Genomic DNA, 24840 nt, shown 5'->3' with positions numbered 1-24840 from the left:
CTTAGAGAAAGATATCAATATGCAAGAACAAAAGGTTACAAAACCCCATCAAGCAGATTTAACCCAAAGAAGACTACCTCAAGGCATTTAATAACCAAACTCCCAAATGTCAAGGATAAACAAAGGATCCTAAAAGCAGCAAGAGAAAAGAAATAATATATACAATGGAGTTCCAATATGTCTGGCAGCAGACTTCTCAGTGGAAACCTTACAGGCCAGGGAAGAGTGGCATGACATATTTAAAGGGGAAGAGTGGCATGACATATTTAAAGTGCTGAAGGAACTATATTTTACCCTAGAATAGTATATCTAGTGAAAATATCCTCCAAACATGAGGGAGAAATAAAGACTTTCCCAGACAAACAAAAGCTGAGGGATTTCATCAACACCAGACCCATCCTACAAGAAATGCTAAAGGTAGTTCTTCAATCTGAAAGAAAAGGATGCCAATGAGCAATAAGAAATCACCTGAAGGTACAAAACCCACTGGTAACCATAAGTACACAGAAAAACACAGAATATTATAACACTGTAATTGTGGCGTATAAACTACACATACCTTGAGCAGAAAGACTAAAAGATGAACCTATTAAAATAATTACAACAACTTTTCAAGACATAGACCGTATAATAAGATATAAACAGAAACAACAAAAAGTTAAAAAGTGGAAGGGTGAAGTTAAAGTGTAGAGTTTTTATTAGTTTTCTCTTTGCTTGTCAGTTTGTTTCTGCAATCAGTGTTAAGCCTGTCATCAGTTTAAAATAATGGGTTATTAAATAGTATTTGCAAGCCTCATGGTAATGTCAAGAGACATGCAACAGATACACAAACAATAAAATGCAAGAAACTAAAACATACCATATGAGAAAATCACCTTCACAAAGAGAAGGAAACACCACAAAACAACCAGAAAACAAATAACAAAATGGCAGGATTAAGTCCTTACTTATCAATAATAATATGGAATATAAATGGACGAAACTCTCCAGTCACAAGATATAGAGTGGCTGAATGGATTAAAAAAATGGGACTCAACAATCCATTGCCTACAAGAAACACACTTCACCTATGAAGACACATATAGGCTGAAAATAAAAGGATGGAAAAAGATATTCTATGCAAATGAAAACCAAAAGAGAGCAAGAGGAACTGGACTTAAATCAGACAAAATAGATAGCAAGACAAAAATTAGACCAAGAGACAAAGAAGGTCATTACATAACGGTAAAGGGACCCATTCAGCAAAAGAATATAACAATTATAAATATATATGCACCCAACACTGGAGCACCCAGATAGATAAAGCAAATATTATTAGAGCTAAAGGGAGAGACAGATCCCAATAAAAGCTGGAGACTTCAACACCCCACTTTCAGCACTGGATCAAACATCCAGACAGAAAATCAACAAACATCAAACTTCATCTGCAGTATAGACTAAATGGACTTAATAGATAGTGACAAACCATATCATCCAAAAGCTGCAGAATACACATTCTTCTCCTTAGCACATGGGTCATTCTCAAGAATAGTTCATGTGTTAGGCCACAAAACAATTCTTTAAAAATACAAGAAAACTGAAATTCTGTCAAGTATCTTCTCTGATCACAATGGAAAAAAACTAGAAATCAATAACAAGAGGAATTCCAGAAACTATTCAAACAGAAATTAAACAATATGCTCTTGAATAACCAGTGGGCCAATGAAGAAATTAAGAAAGAAATTAAAACAGTCTGAAGCAAATGAAAATGGAAACACAACATACCAAAATTTATGGGATACAACAAAAGCAGTATTAAGAGGAAAGTTCATAGCAATAAGCACCTACAACAAAAAAGTAGAAAAACTTCAAATACACAACCTAACAATACATCTTAAAGAATTAGAAAAGTAAGAGCCAACCAAACCCATAATTAGTAGACGAAGAGAAATAATAAAGATCAGAGCAGAAATAAATGAAACAAACAAAAAAAGATAAAAAAGATCAACAAAATTAAAAGTTAGGTTTCAAAAGATAAACAAAATCAATAAACCTTTAGCCAGATTAAGAAAAAAAGAGAGAGGATCAAATAAATAAAAACCGGAAATGAAAAAGGAGGCATTTGGCCAGGTGCAATGGCTCACACATGTAATTCCAGCACTTTGGGAGGCCAAGAAAGGTGGATAGCTTGAGCTCAGGAGTTCAAGATCAGCCTGGGCAACATGGTGAAATCCTGTCTCTGCCAAAAATATTTTTAAAAAATTAGCCAGGCCTGGCGGCATGCAAGGGAACCTTTGGGAGTGATAAAAAGAATCTGTATATACATCATCCTATATGGTAGACACTGTGTAGCTACTGAGCATCTGAAATGTGGCTATTGTAACTGAGAAACTAAATTTTAAATATAATTTAAATAAATTTAAGTTTAAAATTTAAAAATTGATACTGGACTTATTGGAAAACATTTAAGTATCTTTGGACAAACTTAAGTATGAGAATCTATGTTTTCAACTCTAAATTTTATGAAATCTAAATACAAATCAAGCATTCTGATGAAAATTTAGCATCTGAATTGGGATGTAAATGTAAAATGTTCACTGGATTTTGAAAACTTAGTCTCAAAAAATGAATGTGAAATGGCTTACTAATAATTTTGTCATATTGATTACATGTTGAAATAATTTTTGACTTACTATGTTAAATAAAATACATTATTAAAATTATTTTTGTTTCTTTTAACCCTTTAAATGTGGTAGCTACTACAAAATGTAAAATTACCTATCTCACATTACATTTCGACTGGATAGTGCTGTTCTACATCTTCACTGTGGTGGTGGAAACATCTGTCAAAACTGTACACTTAAAATGCGTACATTTTACTGTATAAAAATTATGCCTCAATAAAGTAGACAAAAATATTAAATTGGTAGTGAATATATGCTTGTGTGTGTGTGCACATATGTGTGGGAAGGAGGGAGTATGTATCAATGAGTATCTTGTTTGTGATCTTTCTTCATCAATAATCAGAAAGGAAAAAAATTCACTGAGTATATATACATGCAAAAGTAACTGTTCTCCTGAAGCGTCATCATATTAAATTATATTATAGTTATTTAATGTGTGCATCCCTCACTAGCCTTTGAGCTTCTTGGAGGCAGGAACCCTGTTTTGTTCATCTCTGTATAAACCTAGCACTTAACGTAGAAAGTTAACATAGTACCTTAGCAGTGTTTTGCAACTGTAGAATTCTCCTAGATACTTTATATAGTTTAATTCTGCCAAAATACCTGTAAATTTGGTATTATTAGTGCCGGTTTTCAGATGAAAAACTGAGGGTGAGAAGGTCACAAAGGTTAAAGTAACTCACCAAATATCCAGAGCTAGTAAGTAAAAGAGCATGTTCCAAACCCACACTTACAAGTCCCAGGCCCATTCTTCCACCCTGCTCCATACTGCCACCTCTCCATGTGGGCATTTCACAACTGTCTGATGAATGACTGAGTCAAAGTAAAGATCTATATTTAGGGGCAATGGAACCACAGAAACTTTCCTGAACTTCTAGTGTTACAGCTTCATAGTCTTGAATAGGCTCTCTCTAGACAAAGAGCCACCTGGCAGCTCTTACTAGAAGATCAGAAAGGGTGACTATAGTATGGAAAAAAAATTCCATCCCAATTAAACTTTCCATTTGGGAGTCTGAAGAAAAATAACACAGAACAAAGAGTATGGGAATGAGAAAAAAGGAAATGCTGAATCTGCTAATATAGCTAATTAATGCCAAAGAATGAATGTAACAGCAACTTCAGCATTCAAAAATGAAGTTAGGAGATCTAGAGAGGTACAGTTTCTAAGTTTTTTGGAGCTCTCCTTTAATTAGCCTCCCTGAATCTCAGCATTCCTGTTTGAATAATCCATATTTCTGGTTATTTATTCAGCTCCCCTCTGCTATGCAATACCTAGCCATATGCTGCAGAAATATATCACTTCATATTTGCACTCAACCAACCAAAGACACTGGCAATTCAGACCTTTAAGAAGCTTAAGGAAAAGTCCCTTCAGAACATTGTGTTAAGGTTAGAAGATCCAAGAAGCCAAATGTATCTTCTATTTATGCTATTTACTTGAGAGAAGGTGGGTCATTTCAACAAAAGGACAAGCAATTAGAAGGGTAAGGGAGATAAACAAAAGACTCAAGAGAGTAAAGCTAGCAAAAATCAGCTAAACACAAAAGGCCTCTGAGTAATTTCTCATGCTCCTCTCTGCATTTTTTTAAAAATTGTTTTTAAAAGCAATTCCTCAAAGGAAGACTTTTGGTCAATGCAAGGTCTGGTACACACTGGACAAATGAAGAGGTCTACTGTGCCTCCAGCCCCCCAGAAGCCTTTTAAAGATAATATATTTTAGAAATATACACAGTAAGTCATCACTTAACATCATAGATAGACTTGGAAATGGCAACTTTAAGTAAAACGGGATATAGGAGGTCAGATCCTCAAATAACACCGTTATAACAATGATCAGAAAAACTGGTTTCATTATACATCATTTCGCTTAAAGTTATGGTTTCCAAGAATGTTACTGATGATGTTAAGTGAGGACTTACTGTACCTGGATAATCCTAACATCATTTTAAACACAAAAATGGTCACTGTAGAATTTGTTATAACGGCAAAACATTGGAAATATCCTCAATGCCAACAACAGAAGAATACTAAGTAAGCTACAGTCCCTTAGAGGCCATGATGCAGTTACTGAAAACTCTCATGAAGATTATTCACAGCATGGGAAACAGCATCTTATGTCTGAAATGTAGCAATACAGAAAATCCTATGTGTGGCAGGCTTAAAAAGTTGTTAAAAATTATAGAAAAAAAGACTAGAAGAAAATATACACCCAAAGACAGGCTGTGTTTAGCTCACAGAACTGTTTTCCTAACTTTGTGGAGACAGAAATTCTGTCTTAGGTATTTCTGTGTATGCCCAGTACTTAACATAGTACCTTGTCAATGTTTTAATAGCAGTTTTATATGTTAGTATTCTAAATTCTATTTAACAAATATATATCACATTTATGAAAAACCTTTCCAAAGAAATATCTTAGTTCAACAGAACTTTCAGTATACTTGAAGTTTTAAGACAGCAGACTCTGGCTCCATTTCTTTTTTTCTTGTTTTTTTTTTTTTTAAATCTCAACTTGCTCCTCTGTAGGGCACAATTCATAATGACTAGAATCTTCCAACCACATAAACATGCTCGATTTTTTTTTTTAAGTCCCTTGACCCTATACCACAGTCTGGTTATCCCCTCAGCCTTCCCCCACACACTTCTCTACTCCCCTTCCTAGACAGGGTCTCAAGAGTTATCAACATAAGCTTCCTCTCCCCTTTTTGCTTCTAACTTTAGGATTCTATAAAATAACTGTGAAACTAATATAAGATCCACTTTCAGGAATTAGCGTATAAATAATAAGACACACAAGGAAAGTACTATAAATAAAAGTTTCTAGAACTGTCTTGCACGTTTTCATATTTCCTAAGCTAGGCATACAGCACATGTACAACTCATTACTGAATGAGGAGTGAAAAATATGAATGATACGCTGCTTTCAATAAAAATACAAACATATGGCATAGATAGGTCTATGTGATATATACAGAAAATTAGTCCAAGTTTAGAAGTAATGGCTAGATTTCCCCAAAACTAACACACTATGGGAAGGAGAGGAAAAACACCAATGTCCTTCAATGGAGTGGACGTATTAGCAACCACCACAGTAGGGCACAAACAGAACACAATATACTTTTTATTCATCTACTCTAACTTTAGGAAAGACCACATACCTATACAAACACATCCCCCCATGCCTGAAGACTTTACTCTTCAGGGTAAAGTCTAGGAAACCCAACAGAATAAATGATCATAGCTACATGCTCTTGAATTCAGGCTAACAGTGAAAAGTCAGGCAAAAAAGGTGGGAGAACTAGGGCATTCGAAACATACCTGAGCATGAGATTCATCAGCTGAAGACCCTCGCCCTTCAGGAAGCGCTCACGATTGGAACTAAGCATTAGACAGGAGCAGAGGGAATCAAACAGATTCTCCATCATCTCCTGCTCCTCAGCCGTGCTGGGATTGTGTCTTTTAAACACCTGTCAAGCAAAAACAGCACAAAGCACAGAGCTATAAGAGAATGTCTTTTCATGAGCCTCCATCCAACAATTCCTAAAACCTGTGGGTCATAACTCTACGACTGAGGAAACAGAAGCTCACCAAACAAAATTCTCATCAGTTTCCATTTTAGAGAAACTAAATGATTCACATATATTAAATACATGCAAAAAAAAAAGCCAAAACACTCTACTGACCACTGGGTCCATCAGTAATTGACAGTTCCAGGCAAGCAGATTTTTTTAAAAACCAAAACCCAATAAAAAACAAAATCTTTTTATCGTGAAATATAACACAGATACAGAAAAACTCCATAAAGGACATATAAAACTAAATGAAGTGAACACCCCTGAAATCATTATCCAGGATGAGAAACAACTTTGCCAACTCCCCTCAAAGCCCTCCACTTGCCCAACCCAACCATATCTCATTTCTTTCCCTTCTAAAAGCAACCACAATCCAGAGGGCTGAATCGTGGCTCAATATAAGGAAGCATTTCCTGACAACCAAGGCTACTGAATTCCCTCACAGGGGAGCTGGGGCTTTAATTCATGGGAAGGGCTTACAGCATTAGTTTTCTTTTTGCCAGAGATGTAAGGCATGTTAAGAGAAGCCTTTAAACTGTATATGCATACCCATACAGTCTACTACAAGAAGATCAATAATCTCACAGGAAAAGGACTAAGCACCTTCCCAGAACTGGAAACAGATTCACATTTCAAAGCTCTATTTTTGGGGTGGAGGCCAAGACACTCAGGCTGCTGGCACCAAGATGGAAGCTGTATGCAAACTGACATCTCAGACTCTCCCAACACTCTTAAGATTTTATCCAAATGATCTATTTTCAGTCCTGTTTTTAGAATAACACAGCTAAAACTTGTAAGAGGAAATCTTAACAGTATTTTCAGAATGCCAGCAGAATAACATTTCAACTGGATTTACATTTCTTACAGTGAGAAAATGGCAGTTTCCAAGTTCTCACTCCAGCCTTCAGCACCACATCCTCCCCTATCCTCCCCTTGACCCCCACCCCACTGCAGTGGAACTTGTACTCCTTGAGCTTATTCAGATCCTAAATGAACATACTCCATTTTCACAGCAGATTGAAAGGAAGGTTGGTGAATAATCTTGGCAGTGGGTCAAATGAAAATAATTTGGTATGCTTGGCCCAGAACATACACACTTAAGCATGAGGCACATCTTTTTTGAGTTGACAATATCATATCAGAAGATGAAGAAAGTTCAGAACTGATACACAGTGATGTCTGGTCATAAAGAGCAAATGACTAAGAAAAGGAGGCAAACCATGTCCCTCCGTATAACCCTCAAACCTGCCAACATGCTCCATATGGCTTGCAGCACATGGCTTATTCCTTCCCACAGTTTCCAGCTCCACCTCCCATTCAAAGCAGACCATGTATCTTACAGCAGACAGGAAGCATAAGAATTACTCACGGATAACTGCTGAAGAAGCACATCGATTCCATCCAGCTCCCCAAGCAATTCCCTGTTTTCTAAAGGGGAAAAAAATAGAGGAAGAAAAAAAATGAACCTAACTGTCAGATTTTACAGCCGTCTAACACTGATACATCAGCAAACAAAATCAATACAGCTTGACAGAGTACAAAAGCAGCACAGGGAGTGAGAGGGAGAGCAAGGGGATGCCAAAGGCAAGAGAGCTTGCTGTCATGATCTGAAACAAGCCTGGCTCCTATCCTAACAGAATATCAATACTGAGAGGGCGCCTCACCATCATTGTCCTGGAGCAATATGGCCAGCACTTCACTGCAATACAGTTTGTTGGCATCAAAAGGCATCTTTGCCTATGGGGAAATAGGAGAAATGAGAAAAATGTTAAGGGGTCTTGCTTCCTTCCCCAGGACAAATTTTTCACGAGTACTATGATCTGAGTTAGAGAGAAGCAGAAGTTAGAAAAGGAAAAGGCAGTTAAGGGTAAAAACGTCTGCCTCTGCTCTCAAGAGACCAGAACCAAGTAAAGTGACAGATTGAAACAATGGCTCTCACACTCTTAATGCCCAGGTATTAAGGTTACCTCCTCGGTGAAGACTTCCAAGATTTCCCATTTTGAGTCCAGAGATTATATATGTCTAGCCCATAGTACCCAAATGTGAACTAGATGAATGAGAGTTTTGAACTTTTAAGATTAAAACTCACCATGAAGCTTAATTCACAAGTTACAATCATGAAATTAGGCTATAAATTAGTTAATATATGAGCAGAGAAGAAAGCAATTCTTGATTAACTGAATGTATTTATCACAAAGTAGTTCCTTCTGGATTTTTTTAATGCTTAAAATTTAATTTGAAATCATAAACTTATCTGCTTGCATGCCATAATCTGCCTACTACTTAAAACAGAAACCACATTAAATATGCAAAAATGTGTTAATATTTTAACACCCAAATTACTACCCACAATTCTTTCCCCGCTGCATGCTCTGCTATTTGGGAGTTTCAGAGGGGACACATCTACTGCACAGACTATCTTTCATGGCTGTCCTCAGTGTTGCTTCGGTAGTGAGACTTAAATATCTCACCATTATCACTGCCCCCTGGATAAAGGTGCATAGAGAGGAGCGAGTCTCAGTGGTGTGTTTTTATTTATGGTGCCCATGATCCTTAAAATGCAGGCATGTAAACAATGATTATTAATCAGCAGCAACCTTTGCTACCTATCTGTGTTTTTGAAATGACAAAGAATTTCTGTACTTGGAAAAGACAAGGGAAGTGTTTATCTTGGAACTAACACTTCCGTCACCTTACCGCCATTCACAGATCTGTTTAGATATTGGTTTTATACTTAAAGAGGAAGAGTTGTACCTAATCAAGCAATATTCAGTATCATTTCAGTTTTCTGTGCACGTCTTCCTCATCAAGCTAAGTGCAGCCTACAGGGTTTCAGGAGGTCAACCAAGTATGACCATCTTAGGTTAAAAGATCTATAAATGCAAGGTCTTACATGTGCTAAATGTAAGGTATGCTCCCTGGGCGAGCTTGAAGCCTTGTTTCAAGAAATTCAGCATAATAGTCAGGGCTTAAATGCAACCTGTGGTATGTTTCACTTTAAGAAAAATGGTTTCATATTAACGAAAATCAAAACATGAAGGTGAAAAGCCAAGGAGTAAGCATCTCTATCAAAATCAAGGATTTGCGAATAAAATTTCCCACTCAAATTATGTAAGTTCCAAGTACTGCTATTATATTTTAAAAGATTTAAGCCACACCAACTTATACATTAGCATTGCAAGGGCCATGGTTCTTGTTTAAAACAAGACACTTAACTGAAAGAAGCCAAAAGACAGTAGGTCACTAGAGCCATGGCCTTTCTGTGGATCTAATGCCTCTTGTCCTTTATTCAATTTTGTAAGCTCCTGTTTTCAAGTTGGGGGGAGTTTTTCTTCCTTTCAATAAATACTTATTAGGCACCTGCTATAGGGAAGACACAGAATTAAGCAAGAGAACAAACAGGGGTAACTTAGATCTGAACTCTGTCCACTGTTGTGGCATTTAAAAACCTTACACTGAATTAAAATTAATTTTGTAGAAATATCAAATTTTAAAAAAGGAAAATAAAACACAGATCTGGCATTAGACACACCTAAGGTTGACTCAAATCTGCAGTTCTCCAACTTTGCGCTGTGGCAACTGGGGTGTCATATTTAATTCACCACAGGATATGTTAAATTTTCAAGGAGAACACAGTGAAATGTGACATCTGTTGAACACTGCATTAACCAGGAGCTCAAGTTACATTTCTTCTGGTGACATCATATCTTTGTGGAGCTGCGTTTGGATAGCTGCTCTGACAAAAATAACTGTGAAAATCGATGTGAAATCAGAATGATGGTCGTAGCGTTCAATCTGATCCTAAGGTTTAAGGATTTGAGCAGTACCAAAAGGCACACATACCATTAGGAAGTAACTATGATATTTAAGAATGAAATAAAAATATTTTTTCTTTCAATTTGTGTGTATTATCTTCTCAAATGGCTAATAAATTGTAAGGACATAAATATATATTAAATGGTTTGGACATAACTACTTAATAAATGAGACTATTAGGTACTTTTTGGCATAGCGGTGCTGTAAAAACAGAATTACTGAGACACTAAGAATGCTGTAAGCTGACAATGGGAATCTATGACCCAAGAAACATTCTCAGTCTCAGTTTCCTCATCTGTAAAATGAAAATAAAAAATAGCACTTTTTTGATTAAGGGCACTGACATGAAAAAAAGAAAAAAGAAATAGAAAAAAAATCCCACTTATTTGGAGAGTTACTATGAGAATTTAAAAACATAATATGAAAGTACCTAACACACAGTAGGTACCACAAGTTTTTCTGACAACCATAACCAGAAATATCTGCATTAGAATCTGAGCTCTAACAGTTACCAGCTATGAGACTGGCCAAATTAATATCTTCCTCATGAAGTGGCTGTACTAAGGGAACTGGTGTATACATAACAGGCACCGACCAGCTGAGTTTCTTGCTACTGAGAATTCTTGGTTCCACAGGAAATCTCCACCTTTTGCTGTAAGACACTACTAAGAGTTTCCAATTTAACCAAAGTAAGTTTTTAAAAACCAGACTGATAACTTCATCATTTTTAAATTAAAATATAAGTTCTGACTGAGAAATTGGCATGAAGGAAGAATCTAATCAGGAAACCAAAATGATGAGGCCCGATAACTCCCCAACGCTGAGCTCTGCAATGCTTCAGAACCTAAAAGCAGTGCCAGCTGAGAAGCAGCTTGGCAAGAGGAGGTGGCTTCAAAGATGCCAAGGCCCAATGCTCACAGGCTCTCTCACGTGGTTCCCATGTGGTTTGGGCAACACCATTTCCTCTCTCTCTGGGATTTCTTTATCTGTAAATTGGGGATAGCTGCACCCTCTTGGCAGGGCTGTTTGTGAGGATTAGAAATAATGTATGTGGCCAGGCGCAGTGGCTCACACCTGTACTCCCAGCACTTTGGGAAGCTGAGGCGGGAGGATCACTTGACCCCAGGAGTTCAAGACCAGCCTGGGCAACATAGTGAGACCTCATCTCTACAAAAAACTACAAACATTAGCTGGGTGTGGTGGTGTGCACCTGAAGTCCCAGCTACTTGGGAGGCTGAGGTTGGAAAATCACTTGAGCCTGGGAGGTTAAGGCTGCAGTGAGTAGTGATGGCACCAACACTCTGGCCTGGCCAACAGCATGAGACCCTGCCTCAAAAAAAAAAAAAAAAAAAAAAAGAGAGAAAGAAAGAAAAAGAAGAAAAAGACAGGAAAGAAAGAAGAAGGTTCTAGAAAAACACTTTAGCATGTAGTGAGCAGTCAATACATGAAACTCATATCAGATGATGAAAACTTAGTGGTGATGATGATGATGATGACAACCAAATGTTTTAATCTGGTAGAAAAGAAATAGAAGAAATTAGGCCAGGTGGGAAGAAAGGAAAGTAATCTTTCATGTCTAGCCAAAGACAACACTTACAAAGCATATTTTATTTCTGTTTAAATCCCAGCCAGAGATTGCACAATACCAAACTGCCAAATTTCAAAGACATTTATTCAAAATCAGGAGAAAGGAGATTTTACTTAGCAGGTATAGTCTCTTGGATTTTGCAAAGTTAATCAGCGGGACTTGGAACTTGTAGGGCTCTCTTCTATCCAGGAGCCTGGCTCTCTTAAATCTTTCAGCTGTCAGAGTAATTATAGAGTCATGCATAGGTTTGTACTCAGCATGTACTAGCCTTGAATAAAATTACACTTCACCTTTTTGGGAGCTGCTGCTTTTCTGGAAAGTACAAAACAATTATGCTACCACTCACAGCCAGAAGCTGCAGGTTATATCTGTAGCTCACCTCTGCTACCTGGAACACATGGGGCAGGTTCAGACATATCTACAGCTCTGTACAATTGTCAAAGCAGATTGTGCCCTACAAAATCCCAACCTCTGGTCATAGAGGCTAAGAACTTTAGCATCAACCAGTTGTACATGTAATATAACTTAACTGAACGCTGCAACTGTTTCTGAAGCATTGATTTAACTGGGTAACAAGAGGGAATCTTATACTTGGTTTTGCTGTTATTTTCAATAGTACGTAATATCTTAATAAGCTTGTATTCCCCATTAAAAACATTAATTGTGATGCAGCATCTCTCACACTACTGTTATCTACTTACCTGTTAATCCATTTAATGCAATCATCTGCAGTGGTTTTTATCCTCATAAGAATAAATTAGTGGGGGTTGATTTGTTGGATGAAGAGATCCATGAATATCTCTATATACTGCTAGGCTACCAGTACAAAAAGGAGAAATCCAACACTAGAATGCTGTCACCAGTGTGCCACTCACTTAAGAATCACTCAAGGATTACTGAATAAATATGAGATGATCAGTCAAATCGTAAGGTTTTATCAAGCAATCTAGACATAATTACTCTAGAACCTTGGTTCTCAGACTTCAGCTTACATCAGAATCATCTTGAGGGCTTATTAAAACTCAGACTGGGCCGGGCGCAGTGGCTTACACCTGTAATCCCAGCACTTTGGGAGGCCAAGGCGGGCGGATCACAAGGTCAGGAGATCGATACCATCCTGGCTAATACGGTGAAACCCCATCTCTACTAAAAATACAAAAAATTAGCCGGATGTGGTGGCGGGCGCCTGTAGTCCTAGCTACTCAGGAGGTTGAGGCAGGAGAATGGCGTGAACCCAGGAGACGGAGCTTGCAGTGAGCCAAGATCGCCACTGCACTCCAGCCTGGGTGACAGAGTGAGACTCCGTCTCAAAAACAACAAAAACAACAACAACAGCAACAAACACAGACTACCAGGCTCCACTCCAACTTTGCAGACTCAGTGGGTCTGGGTGGACCCAAGAATTTGCCTAACAAGGCACTAGGTGATGCTGATGCTCCTGGCTGGGAACCACAGTTTGAGAACAGCTGGGAGGAGGTACAGATATGACAGAGACATGGTCCTTGTAATTATAAAATTTAGAGATATTTGGAGAAAGAAAATCAGCACACATAAGAATATTCAAGTTGGCCAGGTGATGGAGTCATCTCCACTTTACAGATGGAGAGAAGATGCTCCATGAGGGCGAGCATCACACAGTTACGGGTAGATGCTAGAACCCAGATAGGCCAACTCTTGCAAGAGAACCCATTGGAAAAAGATGAAGGTGTTGATTTTTTATAAAAGAAAGTGGGCAGTATAGGCTGGGGGCAAAGTACTATGGAAAGGGGGCATGAAGAAAATTCTGGAGGCTTGGGTCTTAATCCTAGCTCTATCTCTAACTAGCTACAGGGGTTTGGGCAAGGCACTTAATATCGATAGGTCTCAATTTTAAATTTTTTATCTACAACAGAACTTACAGATTTCCTTTCAGTTCTAAAAGTGATAGAGGCTACACAGAAGATTAGGGATTTAAGCTGTTTCACGAAGGGTGTGTAAAATTTAGAAATACGAATGGAAGAGAGGAGCCAGTCATTCCTGGTAGAGTTGGGAGTATGAACAAAGCCAGACACAGAGGTCAAGATAATTTTGACCTTTGCAGAGCAGGAGATAGGTTTAAAAAAAAAAAAAGGTATCTAAAAGGTAACAAAGGCCAATGTTTCAAAACTGGAAAATGAAAAGGTCAAACTGGGCCTGGGTAAGAGGCAGAGAAGGTGGGATCTGATGTAGAAGGCACAGCATCACTCCAGGTAAGTTTCTGAATGGGTAATAGCATAGTGAAAATGGAGTTTTAAATTAGTCTCCAGAGTAAAATGGTTAACAAGAAGGTCCACATTTCCTGAGACAAGTGGATCTTAGTGAGAGTTGTACATTAGAATCACATGTGTTTGAAACCTTTCTAAAATATACCAAAGACAGAGACTGAGACGGTAGGTCTAGGGTACAGTGTGGGAATCTGTATTTGTTCAGTTCCATTGGTGATCTTAATACAAACCCCCAGCTGAAACCCACTGCTATAACCTCTTTACAATTTAAAAGCATTATCATATTTGATTTCGCAATAACCCTGTGAGATTGGAAGGGCAGGGAGTATGATCCCCATTTTTCAAAGGAGAAAACAGGCCAGAAAAGTTAAGAGGCCGTTACCCACAATTACACAGCTAATAAGGGAAAGTCAGGATCTGGGTCCAGTACTCACTAAGAGTCACCACGATGTTGAAGAGAATGAAGATTATAACATTCCCCAGATTATGAGAAATAAGAGCAAGGCATTGCTGCGAAGGACATGCCCTCTTGCTGGCCTCACCCTTAAGCAGGACTTTATTTCATTAACTAATTAATGAAAGAATTAATTAAGCCTGGGCAGCACAGTTTTCTTCTAAAAGCACTTGCTTACCAGTAAAAAACCCAAATAGCATTTTGATGTTTAAATATCCCTAAAAGCCTGAAAACTGTTTCAGAGACAGCAACATGGCTATTTGTGCCCCGAGGATTACATCAATGCAGTGCCTATGTGGCAAGAGTCAATAGCTTGCTAAACTATCAAATGGGCCCCTTCATTATGATCATAAGGGTAACGGCATCCAAGCCAAACACTCAAAAGTCAATTTCCCTTCCTATGTTACCAATTAAAAAAAAAAAAAGACTCTGGCAGAAGACATTCTAGTTTAATGAAGATCCCTGAATCAGTATTAAGTCTCAAGTAACTTGGAAAAATCTGTCCCGACATAACAGAGACAAAAAAACTATTGAATTATTTTGTGTATTTCAAGGTTGCGTCCCTAACGTGTGGCTACTCCCCCAACAACTCAGGTCCCTGACATCTACGCCATCCCCTTAAAACTCGGTGCTCTACTTTCCTCTCCTCCACTGGTTGTTCCCAAAATGTCTCAAGGCTTTGGAGAATAAAAAATGTGTTGAATACTGAGGAAAGAAGAAACGGAGTTTAGAGAGATGTAAAGGAAATTAAATGAGAAACAAGTCTAGTTCTAAAACCAAAGGATATTTAGACTCAAGAGAGGAGGTCAAAAGGAAGTTGCAAATGACAATGCCTGAATTAACTACTTGCTGGATGCAAGACTGAAAGGCAAGAGGGATGGGGTTTGGAGGGAGTTAGAGTTTACTGACCTCTGCTAGGCAAATGTGCTCATACTGATGGTAGCAGCTGGGCTAGCTGAGCATCCTTGGGCCAATATGTTATGTAAATCAAGGTTACAGATTTAATGGGAACAAACGGCTGAATAAGTAGGATTGGAGAAGACTAGAGTGTCAGAAACGGAGAAAACCATGCAGCATATGATATCTTAGGCAGAACCTTCTCCTTTAGCCCTGCCAAGACAGTGGAGGACAAATCTGACCTGATACACCCCAGACTTTCTGGATGCTTGTGACATTCTGAAGCAGAGCAAGGCCATTACTTAGAGCATTACTTTAGTTACAAACAAGTGCCTCCTTCTCACAAAAAGTTAGGATCCTTGCCTGCCTGAGGGCCATTTCAATAGCATATAAGCAGTTCCAAACTGCCTCCCATCACACCTTTGGTCCAAACTGTTCTGAGAGGAGCTCTTGCCTCTTCTTTTTCTCATTTACTCTATTAGACAATACTAACTGTTAAAAAGACAATCACAAGGACTATGCTAAGAGAATGAACAATTCAATAGAAATATGGACAAAGAATATAAATATGAAGCTAAAAGACATGAATACAAATGGCTAATCAACAAGAAGCCAACACACTTCACTTGATGTTAAAATTACAAATTAAAATAATACCAGTTTTCACTATCAGATTAACTAGAAGCAGAGGGAAACAGATAACTCTAAATCAGTGGGGCAGCTGATTTATCAGTGGGATATGATAAATCAGTGGGAATAATTTTGCAATACTACAAAAAATGTTAAGGTGCATAGCCTTTGGCCTATCAATTCTACTTCTATGAATTTATCGTACAGATAAACTGAGACAAATGTATATTTTAAAAAGTCTGTATACAGCAGTCCCTCCCTTATCTGTGGGGGATAGGATCCAAGGCCCCCAGTGGATGCCTGAAACTACAGATAAATTCTGTATTTACTATGTTTTTTTCCTATATATGTACCTATAATAAAGTTTAATTTATAGGCCAGGCACGGTGTTTCACGCCTGTAATCCCAGCACTCTGGGAGACCAAGGCGGGTGGATCACTTGAGATCAGGAGTTCGAGACTAGCCTGGCCAACATGGTGAAACCCCGTCTCTACTAAAAATACAAAAATTAGCCAGGCGTGGTGGCGCACACCTGTAATCCCAGCTACTCGGGAAGCTGAGGCAGGAGAATCACCTTAACCCGGGAGGCAGAGGTTGCAGTGAGCCAAGATCATGCCACTGTACTCCATCCTGGGCAACAGAGTGAGTGAGACTCAGTTTCAAAAGAAAAAACAAAAAAACAAAAAAAAGTTTCTAAATTAGGCACAGTAAGAAATTAACAACAATAATAAAATAGAACTATTATAACAACATACTGTAAGAAAAGTTTTGTGAATGTGGTCTCTCTCTCAAAATACCTTTTAGTACTATATTTACCTGTTTTCAGACCATGGTTAACTGTGAGTAACTAAAACGCAGAAAGCAAAACCACAGATAAGAGGGGACTACTGTATTCACAGCCGCACTGTTTATAACACTACAAACTTACCAGTGGGAATGATGAGATTAATTTTGGTACATCAGCATAGTGGAATACTAACTAGGCAATAATTAGTTCAGTGAGAAAATCAACTTGCATAAGAAAATATTACATAATTCTGTTTGTGAAACACACACTCTCTCATATACACAGAAAATTTCTGAGAGAATGGATATAATATTGTTAACAGTGACTGCCTCTGAGAAGTGGAACTACAAGGGATCAGCAGAGGGGATCTTTTCAGTTTTATACCTTTTGTATCACATGAATTTGTATTTATAACGTTTGTATTTTCAGAGGTACTAAAGACTATTTTTAAAGCCTCTTGTTTTAAAACGAACAAAAACGGAGAAGAAAGAAGCAAGAGGTACCAGAAGCTTCCCAAACTAGATCATATGGCCCAGCATAACAGTCTATGCCAATAACCCAGCATCAATCAAGCCCAGAGCAAAGACAGGTGTGAGCTGCAGTTCCCCACAGCCAAACTCACCTTCAGCCTCTTCAACAGCCACTGTAGAAGACCCTGCTGGGCACCCTCTGTACACATCTCAGGCCGGAACTCAGCCATGTTTTCCACAATAGCTGAAGGGAGACAGACACCAGTCATTTGGGAGGACAACTTTGTTTCCATCTGCAACAAGCTTGCTTCCCATGACAGGCATGTTATTCCTCTCCCCACTTCCCTGCATTACTCCCAGCCAGATGCTGGGTTGTCATTTTCAGATTAACCAGGGAGTTGCTGTGGTTTTCTTCTTCCAGTTATGCTACAGGTAAAACTCATAACTGAAAATGATGGAACTCACAAAAGAGCTAAGTGATAGATTTTCCATGCTAATAGGGAACAACACTAGAGCGGAACACACAAAAGGGTGGGTATCTACCTAAGAAGTCCCACCCAGTCCCTAATGAGTCCCAGAAACCCATAACCAAAGAGATTGGGAGCTAGGCAAAAGCCTTAGGGAAAACTCAGGGTCTGGTGAACTCAAGAGTCGCTTCCTTTCCTGATTCATCCATTTGCAGTTCTATTTCCCTGCATCAGGTGGAAGCAAGAATATTGCAAAGCAGGCAAGCATGGTCTTTTTAATTGAACAAAATAACATGCACAGAGGGGAAAGGCCATGCTGGCAGAGGTAACTCCCAGGTACTAGGAAGCAAATATAATTGGTCCTGCTATCTCCTACAACAGCCAAAGTGTTGCTTAATAGAAAAATTAAAAATTAGGAGGAAAAAAAAGTTATTGCATGACTATGATACGAAAAAGGAGATCTCTTTTTTTTTAATCACCTAGAGTCCTTAATATCAAATGGTTTCATTTCTTTCAGCCCCCCTTCCAATCCGTATCCTGGAATATGTTACTAGCATGAAACAGATACACTTCTGTGTTCCCTAAACACAATACCCAGAACACATTGGGTGTGAATTTTGAAGGAGAAAGGGCTGAAGAAATCACCACACCTCCTGTCTTCTTTCTCACTCCTTTGCCCACATCAGCCTCCCCAGTGGCAAGTTAAAGGATGACCAGGCAGGGGAAGCACGAAGCTGTGGGAGCAGAGGAGCAAGGAAACCCTGAGAGATGAAGAGCACTACGACACCCTGAATTACTTTCTGCCATTTCCTACAAAAATCAACTCATTCGTTTTAATCTTCCATGACTTTATCCTATTCTTCTGCTTATATTTTAGATGGCTTCCTATTGTTCACTCGAACAAAATCCAAGCTTCCTGCCATGGTTTACAAGGTCTTCCATTATCTGGACAAACTTATTCCTCCAGTTCCATCTCCCACCTCTGACTGTCACAGGCCATTTCTAGTCTTTCCTCAAATCCCAGCCCCATTCATGACTTTGCAAATGATACTCCCCTCATGAAGGCCCTTCTCCCACTCCTCCACCTGTCAAAATGCACCTGTCTTCATATTCAGCCACAGTCATGCACAGGAGCTAGCTGCTCCTATCCAGCAATTTGGAGGCTCTTCCTCTTCATTCCCACAGTGCTTTTCACTGACTCCTACGATACCGTCTGTCACCCAGCATTGTCTTTCCTTTCTTTTCAAGACTCACCTATCTGTCTGCCCTGTCAGGAGCAGAACCATGCCTACTTCACCATAATCTACCCTAGTACCTAGCACAGTGCCTGACAAACATCAGGCACTCAATAAGTGAGAGAGAGGGAAGACTCTCCTGAGCTGTTAGTAGCTGACCGAGCTGCAAATAGATCTCTGTAGACTGGCAGGCTGGTACTTTTTATTAACAGACAGTTAGCAGTCAGTTAACAGACTTTTGATACCGCAAAATCCAGCACTCTGCTAACAAATGGCAATGCCAAATTCTGGCTCTAGACTACAGCCAACCCAAATTACAGAGTGTTGTGTTCCTCCTCTTCCCCCCAGGTGCCCATGTTTCCCCTTCTTTATGATAATCCTCAGGGAACAGAGTCCAGAACTACAATAGAAATCTGTGGTACACAAAGAAGCTAAAAAAAAAAAATCTAATCTCATCAAATTTTCTGCTTCCACTGGGCCTTGTTCATTTCTCAAGCTCTGTTTACAGATATGTCATCTCTGGTTTTATAAGACAGTGACCAGTAATAAAGAGAGCTACCCCCAAAACACAATTTTAAATAGGATATCGGTTCAACAACTTTACAAAAGGAAAGACTGGGGAGATTCAAGGAGGAGAAGGAAGAGGAGAAATACTACAGAGGAATCCACTTAAATGAAAATCTGATGTAGGGACAGCCAAGTAGTAGCAATATTTCAAATCACAGTTTACGTGGTAGTCTACACCTAAGAAGAGAGAGAAAAACTCTTTTTCAAATAAAATGTCCTACAAAGGTACAGAATGGTCCAAAAGTTTGCAGTTCCATGAAAGAAAAGTGATAAGAAAAAACGACTTAAAAGGATTTAAAATGTTTAAATATACACATTCCAAAGGAAACAAAATTAACCAGCATAGGTTTCATCCTAACTTTTGGAGGCGAAGGCCCGCTAACCAGAGCCACTGGTTTTTTGTTTAGGAAGGTTACCTACTTAGTGGATTTCTGCTTTCATTACCTACAAGCCAAACCAAAGCTGAAGTTATATGAAATTTACACAAAGGTCTTCATTTCTGAGAAGGCAGTTTGGGAGCAGAAGGAAGGAAAACAGCCTGCTATTGACTCTATTATGAAGAAGGAAGGGAAATGAGCACAGAGTCCCAAAACAAACACAAAGCAACTCAGGCAATGGCAAGCACCCTTCCTCTCACCCAGAGTGTTGTGGACGCCATCTGCCTCCTCTTTCACAGACTCATCCAGGCGCTCCAGATTCTGTACCAGCAGTGCTACCACCTGCCCATCCACCTGCAAGAATAGCGAAGCAAAAGGAGAGAGGGATGTCATAAAATGGTCCCCAAAATGTTCCCGTTCCCATACTTACTTCTCCACTATTTGAATGAACAAAGTAAGTAAATAAGCAGCAATCTATGGTTTACAAGGTGCTCTCCCATCCCATTATCTCTTTTAAGTCTTAAAGTGACCCTGAGGTAAGTAAAAGGCAGGCATCATTATCTCTAACTTCAGATGAGTCAACTGGAGCTCAAGCAGACAAAGTAAAATTCAAGGTTAAAAGGTTGGTGAGTGACAGTGTTAGCACTTGAACACAGACCATCTGAAACCAAGCCCTGTGCTCGTTCTCCTTCTCTGTGGTACTACCTTACGAGAATGCCATCTTAAGTCAGGTCAACGGTTCATTCAAGCCAAAACACGTCTTTAGGCCAATGCACCAAAAGATGTTTCACTAGAATGTGCACCAGCCACATTCTATGTTGACCTCAAAACATTCCTGTTTCCTTGCTAAGCTTTTATGAAACTACTACTTATGAAGAATTTATAGTTCCCTCTTAAAAGGAATAATCAACACAATAAAATGTCTTCTATTTGTATGACATTGAATGCACAGAAAGCTACTGTATTTCTCTTAATGGAGTCACACATGTTGAAACAGATAGGAAACTTTCAGTAGCCACATCATACAGCTGATGTTCAAGACATTAGTGACTCAGCCAAGACTACACAGCTATGGAGCAGTGGAGGCAAAGGCAAAACCCAGGCTTCCTTCTCCTTAGGTGAAATAATGCTTTTACTACTTCATGCTACCTCCTGTGCACAATCTGTGTTCTAAGGAGACTGCCCTTAGGTAGCCCTGAGGCACACCAAGGAAGATAACTAAGGAAACATCTAGTTTTCTATCATCAGGAAGGGATGATCCATCTGGTAATGGATTCTTAAGCACAGCCAATAAGTAAAGCCACATCTGAAGACACGGTCTGCTGCATATTTGCGTTATCCTCCCTCTCAGTGTTTCGGTTTCCTCACTTATGAAATGGGGATAAGTGCTAAAGAGTAAATGAAAATATGTAACAGGCCTTACCCTAGGTCTAGTTCATGGCAGCTCCTCAAAGAATCAAGCAGAAGGTTTGAATCTAGCCCTTTACCCTGTTGATGCCTGATTATTCACAGTTCCTCTCTTCCACTGGCTAAGAAAAAGCCAAGTTCCTGAAAGGCAGGCACCTTGCTTCATTCATCTTTGTATACCCCAAGTCTACTACAATGCCATATACGGCAGATACTCAGTAAATCTTGCTAGATTTAAATAAATTGATGGAACACATAGTTTGTGCACTGTAATTGCTCCATTTATCCTCATGTAATTCTCACATCTTTCACAGGTGAGAAAGTAAAGGCTCTGAGAGGTTAATTAGCCTGACTGAAGTCACAAAGCTGGTGGCAGAAGTGCCCAACTCCAACTCTACTTTTTCCCATAATCCCCCATTAATTCAATGACGGGAGAGAATGGAGGGAGAAAAAAGAAGGAAACGATCTCATCCAACCAATACTTCCAGAGTCCTTGCGTGTAAGGTATTCTATAGACACAATTCAAACCAAGCTTGAGGAGGCAGGCAATGGTAGGTGGCATAGATCTTGAAACATGGACTCTTTACTCTGTCTGGGTGAGGCTTAAGGGAAATACACGGACAAGGGAAAGGTGAAATTATTGACTAATTTGTGATACCTGAATCACAAATGAATTAGATTTTTCTAGGCTCTCCTTTATGCCCTGGTATGAGGAAAAAGGAGGGGATGCTATTTGAAGAAACACTGATGCCAGATTTGGGAGCCTGTAAATACAGGAAAGTGCTGTTTTCCCATCTTGTGCCAAGAGCTACACAATCTTGCTCTCAAATCTCACAGCCAGCAAAAGCTTCACTAAAGAAATCCACTACAGTGTTTTCCTTAATTAACTGGACATTTTGAGTACGTGAGAGAAAACAGAAAAACATCTGGGGGGAAAATATGAACCATGTCACAGTATGTTTTTCCCTAAATCACCCTGATTGACTTATAATCTCCCTGAATCCTAAAGCAGCAGACACCGCCACTCCACTGGGTATCACACTGCTTGCCAGTTCTGCAAACTGCTACACCAATTTCAATTGCTTATTGCCGCTTTACCTGCATTATTTTCCCTCCTTTCTTTGATTCTTAGTTATGTTTCCCATCTCTGCTGCCTAGAAGCTAGTGGGGACACTGTCAGTGAGCAATGCATTTAAGTCCTAGAGCTGAATGGTTATGGATAATGGGCCTCTGGCTGGAGGAAAATCTTTCTTCTTGCTACGGAAATCCAACTTCTAACAGGCAGCCTTTTTAAGCTTGCAAACTGTGAAACTTTATGTTTAGTTGGGTTAAATGCAATTTTATCTGATTGCAGGAAGGCCAAAAGCAGTCAAAATACATTTAGCTCAGAAAACCCTTCAAAAAATATTTATATTATGCATAGCTCTGGATATCGCTCAGTAAAAGTACATATTAGCATTCTATTCTATTCCCTCTAACCCCTTGGGTCTACCTTCAATTTTCTGGACCTGTGACAAAGTCTGAAACTAAAAACAAATCCTGCTTAGGGATTAAAGCATCAGCCAGGGCAACCCTTGCCTTGGAAATCAGGACTGTCTGGGGTGTGATGTTTTCTGCTAAGTCATTTGTTATTTCTGATTGTTAGCAGGCATCCCAAACAATATTCCGGGAGTTAAAGTTCAAGGGCATGATCACACATCATCTTCCACTTGACCAAAGAGGATGGATATAAGAGAAGAGGAGGAAATAAAAAAGAGACAGATGAGAGGGTTTGAAGGAGGCTTCTTTTTCTATCTGGTACGATCTGCCAATAAGCTTTCTCAAGAATGAGATTGGGATTTTTCTGCCTACTAGGAGTTTCAGGAATTTCATATTTAAAACACAGTAATAACAATAAAACCCCACACCCACTGAATCTTGATCAAACAAGTTTTGAGAATAATATGGTAACATGGTCATAATGCAAAACTCAGGCCTGTTGTATCCTAGCTGTAACCTTTTAGCTTCCATTCTTGCCCCTCCAGTCCATTATCCACACAGCAGCTAGATGCTCTGTTTAAAATGCTGTCAGGCTATGACACCACTCCCCTGCTTATATCTTCTAATTACTTCCCTTCACCCTGGCAATGCCACCCAACCTCTTCACCAAGGCCCACAGAGCCCAGCGTGGTCTGGCCCTGACTCTGCTTTCTCCCCTCGCCCCAGCTGCACATTAACAAGACTGGCCCCTTCTCTGTTCCTTGAATATGTCAACCTCAGTCTTGCCTTAGGTCTTCTGCCCTTTTCCCATCCTGCTCTTGATCATTTTGAATGGCTGGTTTCTTCCAGAACTCAGGCCTTGCCTGACTATTTAATCCAACCTGACTTCCCAGCTACTCTACATCACATCACTCTATTTTAATTCTCTTAAACAGAGAACCACTCTCTGATAGTTTTCTTGTTTATGTATCTACTGTCTCTCCCTACACTCATACCTTGTGAGCTCCACAAAAGCAGAGGCTTTGTCAGGCTTGCTCACAGCTATATAGCTGGTTCCTACAATCAGGAACACATCAAGCATTCAATAAACATTTAGTGAACAAATGAACAAATGAATTTTGCTTTGGAACAAATACAGATGAAGGTGAGAACATGAATGGAAATGGGAAGGAATAGAATCCAGGAATTTTCATAGTAAGTACCCTTACAGCAACATAAACCTGGCCAACCTCAGCCTCACCTGGGCAGCACAAATCCATTGCCAACCAAGTCCAAGGCAAACCAAGATAGGGCTTCAAAGTTTAACATTTCAGTAGAGTTAATTTAGTGCAGGAATGAGTATGGAGGGTAGTCCCCTGGCAGTCCACATCAAAGCCACTTTTTGTGGAACTCTATAAAGCGTTTCTATAAAGCAAATGCTGGCTCCTAGACACTGGCCAGCTACACCACCCAGCCACACTTCCATCTCTGTTGGCTGGGACACCTCCATATGCTCTCATATTAAAGCCCCCTTTCAGAGGCCATCACCGATGCCTGCATCTCTGCAGCCCTTCCTGATTATTCCATCAGAAGCGAGCACTCTCTCTTCATGTCCACAGAACACTGCCCCTCTCATAGCTGTTTTCAATGTTCTGCCTTGTATTATCATTACTTACTTCTTCCTTTTTTTTTTTTTTTAAACTAAAGCTCTATCCTCTCATTTCTTATTTAGGCCCACCCCATCCAAATGTGGTTTTATTGAGTGTTTGTTCAAAATGTTTTTGAAATATTTTTTAAACTGAAAAAAATGTTTGTGAACTCAATATTCACAGACATCTCACTGTGTGGTAGATGATACATACAATTTTAACCTGACATTTGCTAAATGCTTAATATCTGCCAGGCATAGTACCTTTATAATGATAATGGCCAACATTTATCAGGTGTTTACTCTGTGCCAGACTGTTCTAAAGACTTATTAAATATCTCACTTGTTCATCACTTTGGTACTGTATGATAGGCACTACTGTTATCTCCATTTTACAGAGAAAGAAACAGTATGGAGAGGTTAGTAACTTTCCCAAGGACACAGAATTGGTAAATGACAAAGTCACTGCTCTGACCACTCCCCTGACGGGGATCACACCTCAGGAAGGACAAACTTATAAACAGACATCTATAATCCAATGTGACAAGTGCCAGAATGTACAAA

General features: G+C 39.2%; 1 protein-coding gene across 4 annotated transcripts in view; it reads right to left on the bottom strand.

The window, feature by feature from the left end:
* The window catches only part of CTNNBL1 (catenin beta like 1), a 178089-nt gene that overhangs the window by 86805 nt on the left and 66444 nt on the right, over positions 1-24840 (bottom strand). For all 4 annotated transcript variants that reach the window (XM_024451947.2, NM_001281495.2, NM_030877.5 and 1 more), the window contains 5 exons: positions 20024-20117; positions 17270-17361; positions 7897-7969; positions 7602-7660; positions 5979-6127 (listed from right to left, as the gene is read on the bottom strand). In XM_024451947.2, the coding sequence (XP_024307715.1) occupies positions 5979-6127; positions 7602-7660; positions 7897-7969; positions 17270-17361; positions 20024-20117 (467 nt within the window). The remainder of the gene's footprint in view (positions 1-5978; positions 6128-7601; positions 7661-7896; positions 7970-17269; positions 17362-20023; positions 20118-24840) is intronic.

The sequence above is a fragment of the Homo sapiens genome, chromosome 20, assembly GCF_000001405.40.
Source record: "Homo sapiens chromosome 20, GRCh38.p14 Primary Assembly".
NCBI lineage: Eukaryota > Metazoa > Chordata > Mammalia > Primates > Hominidae > Homo > Homo sapiens.
This window is presented reverse-complemented; position numbering and strand designations above follow the sequence as displayed.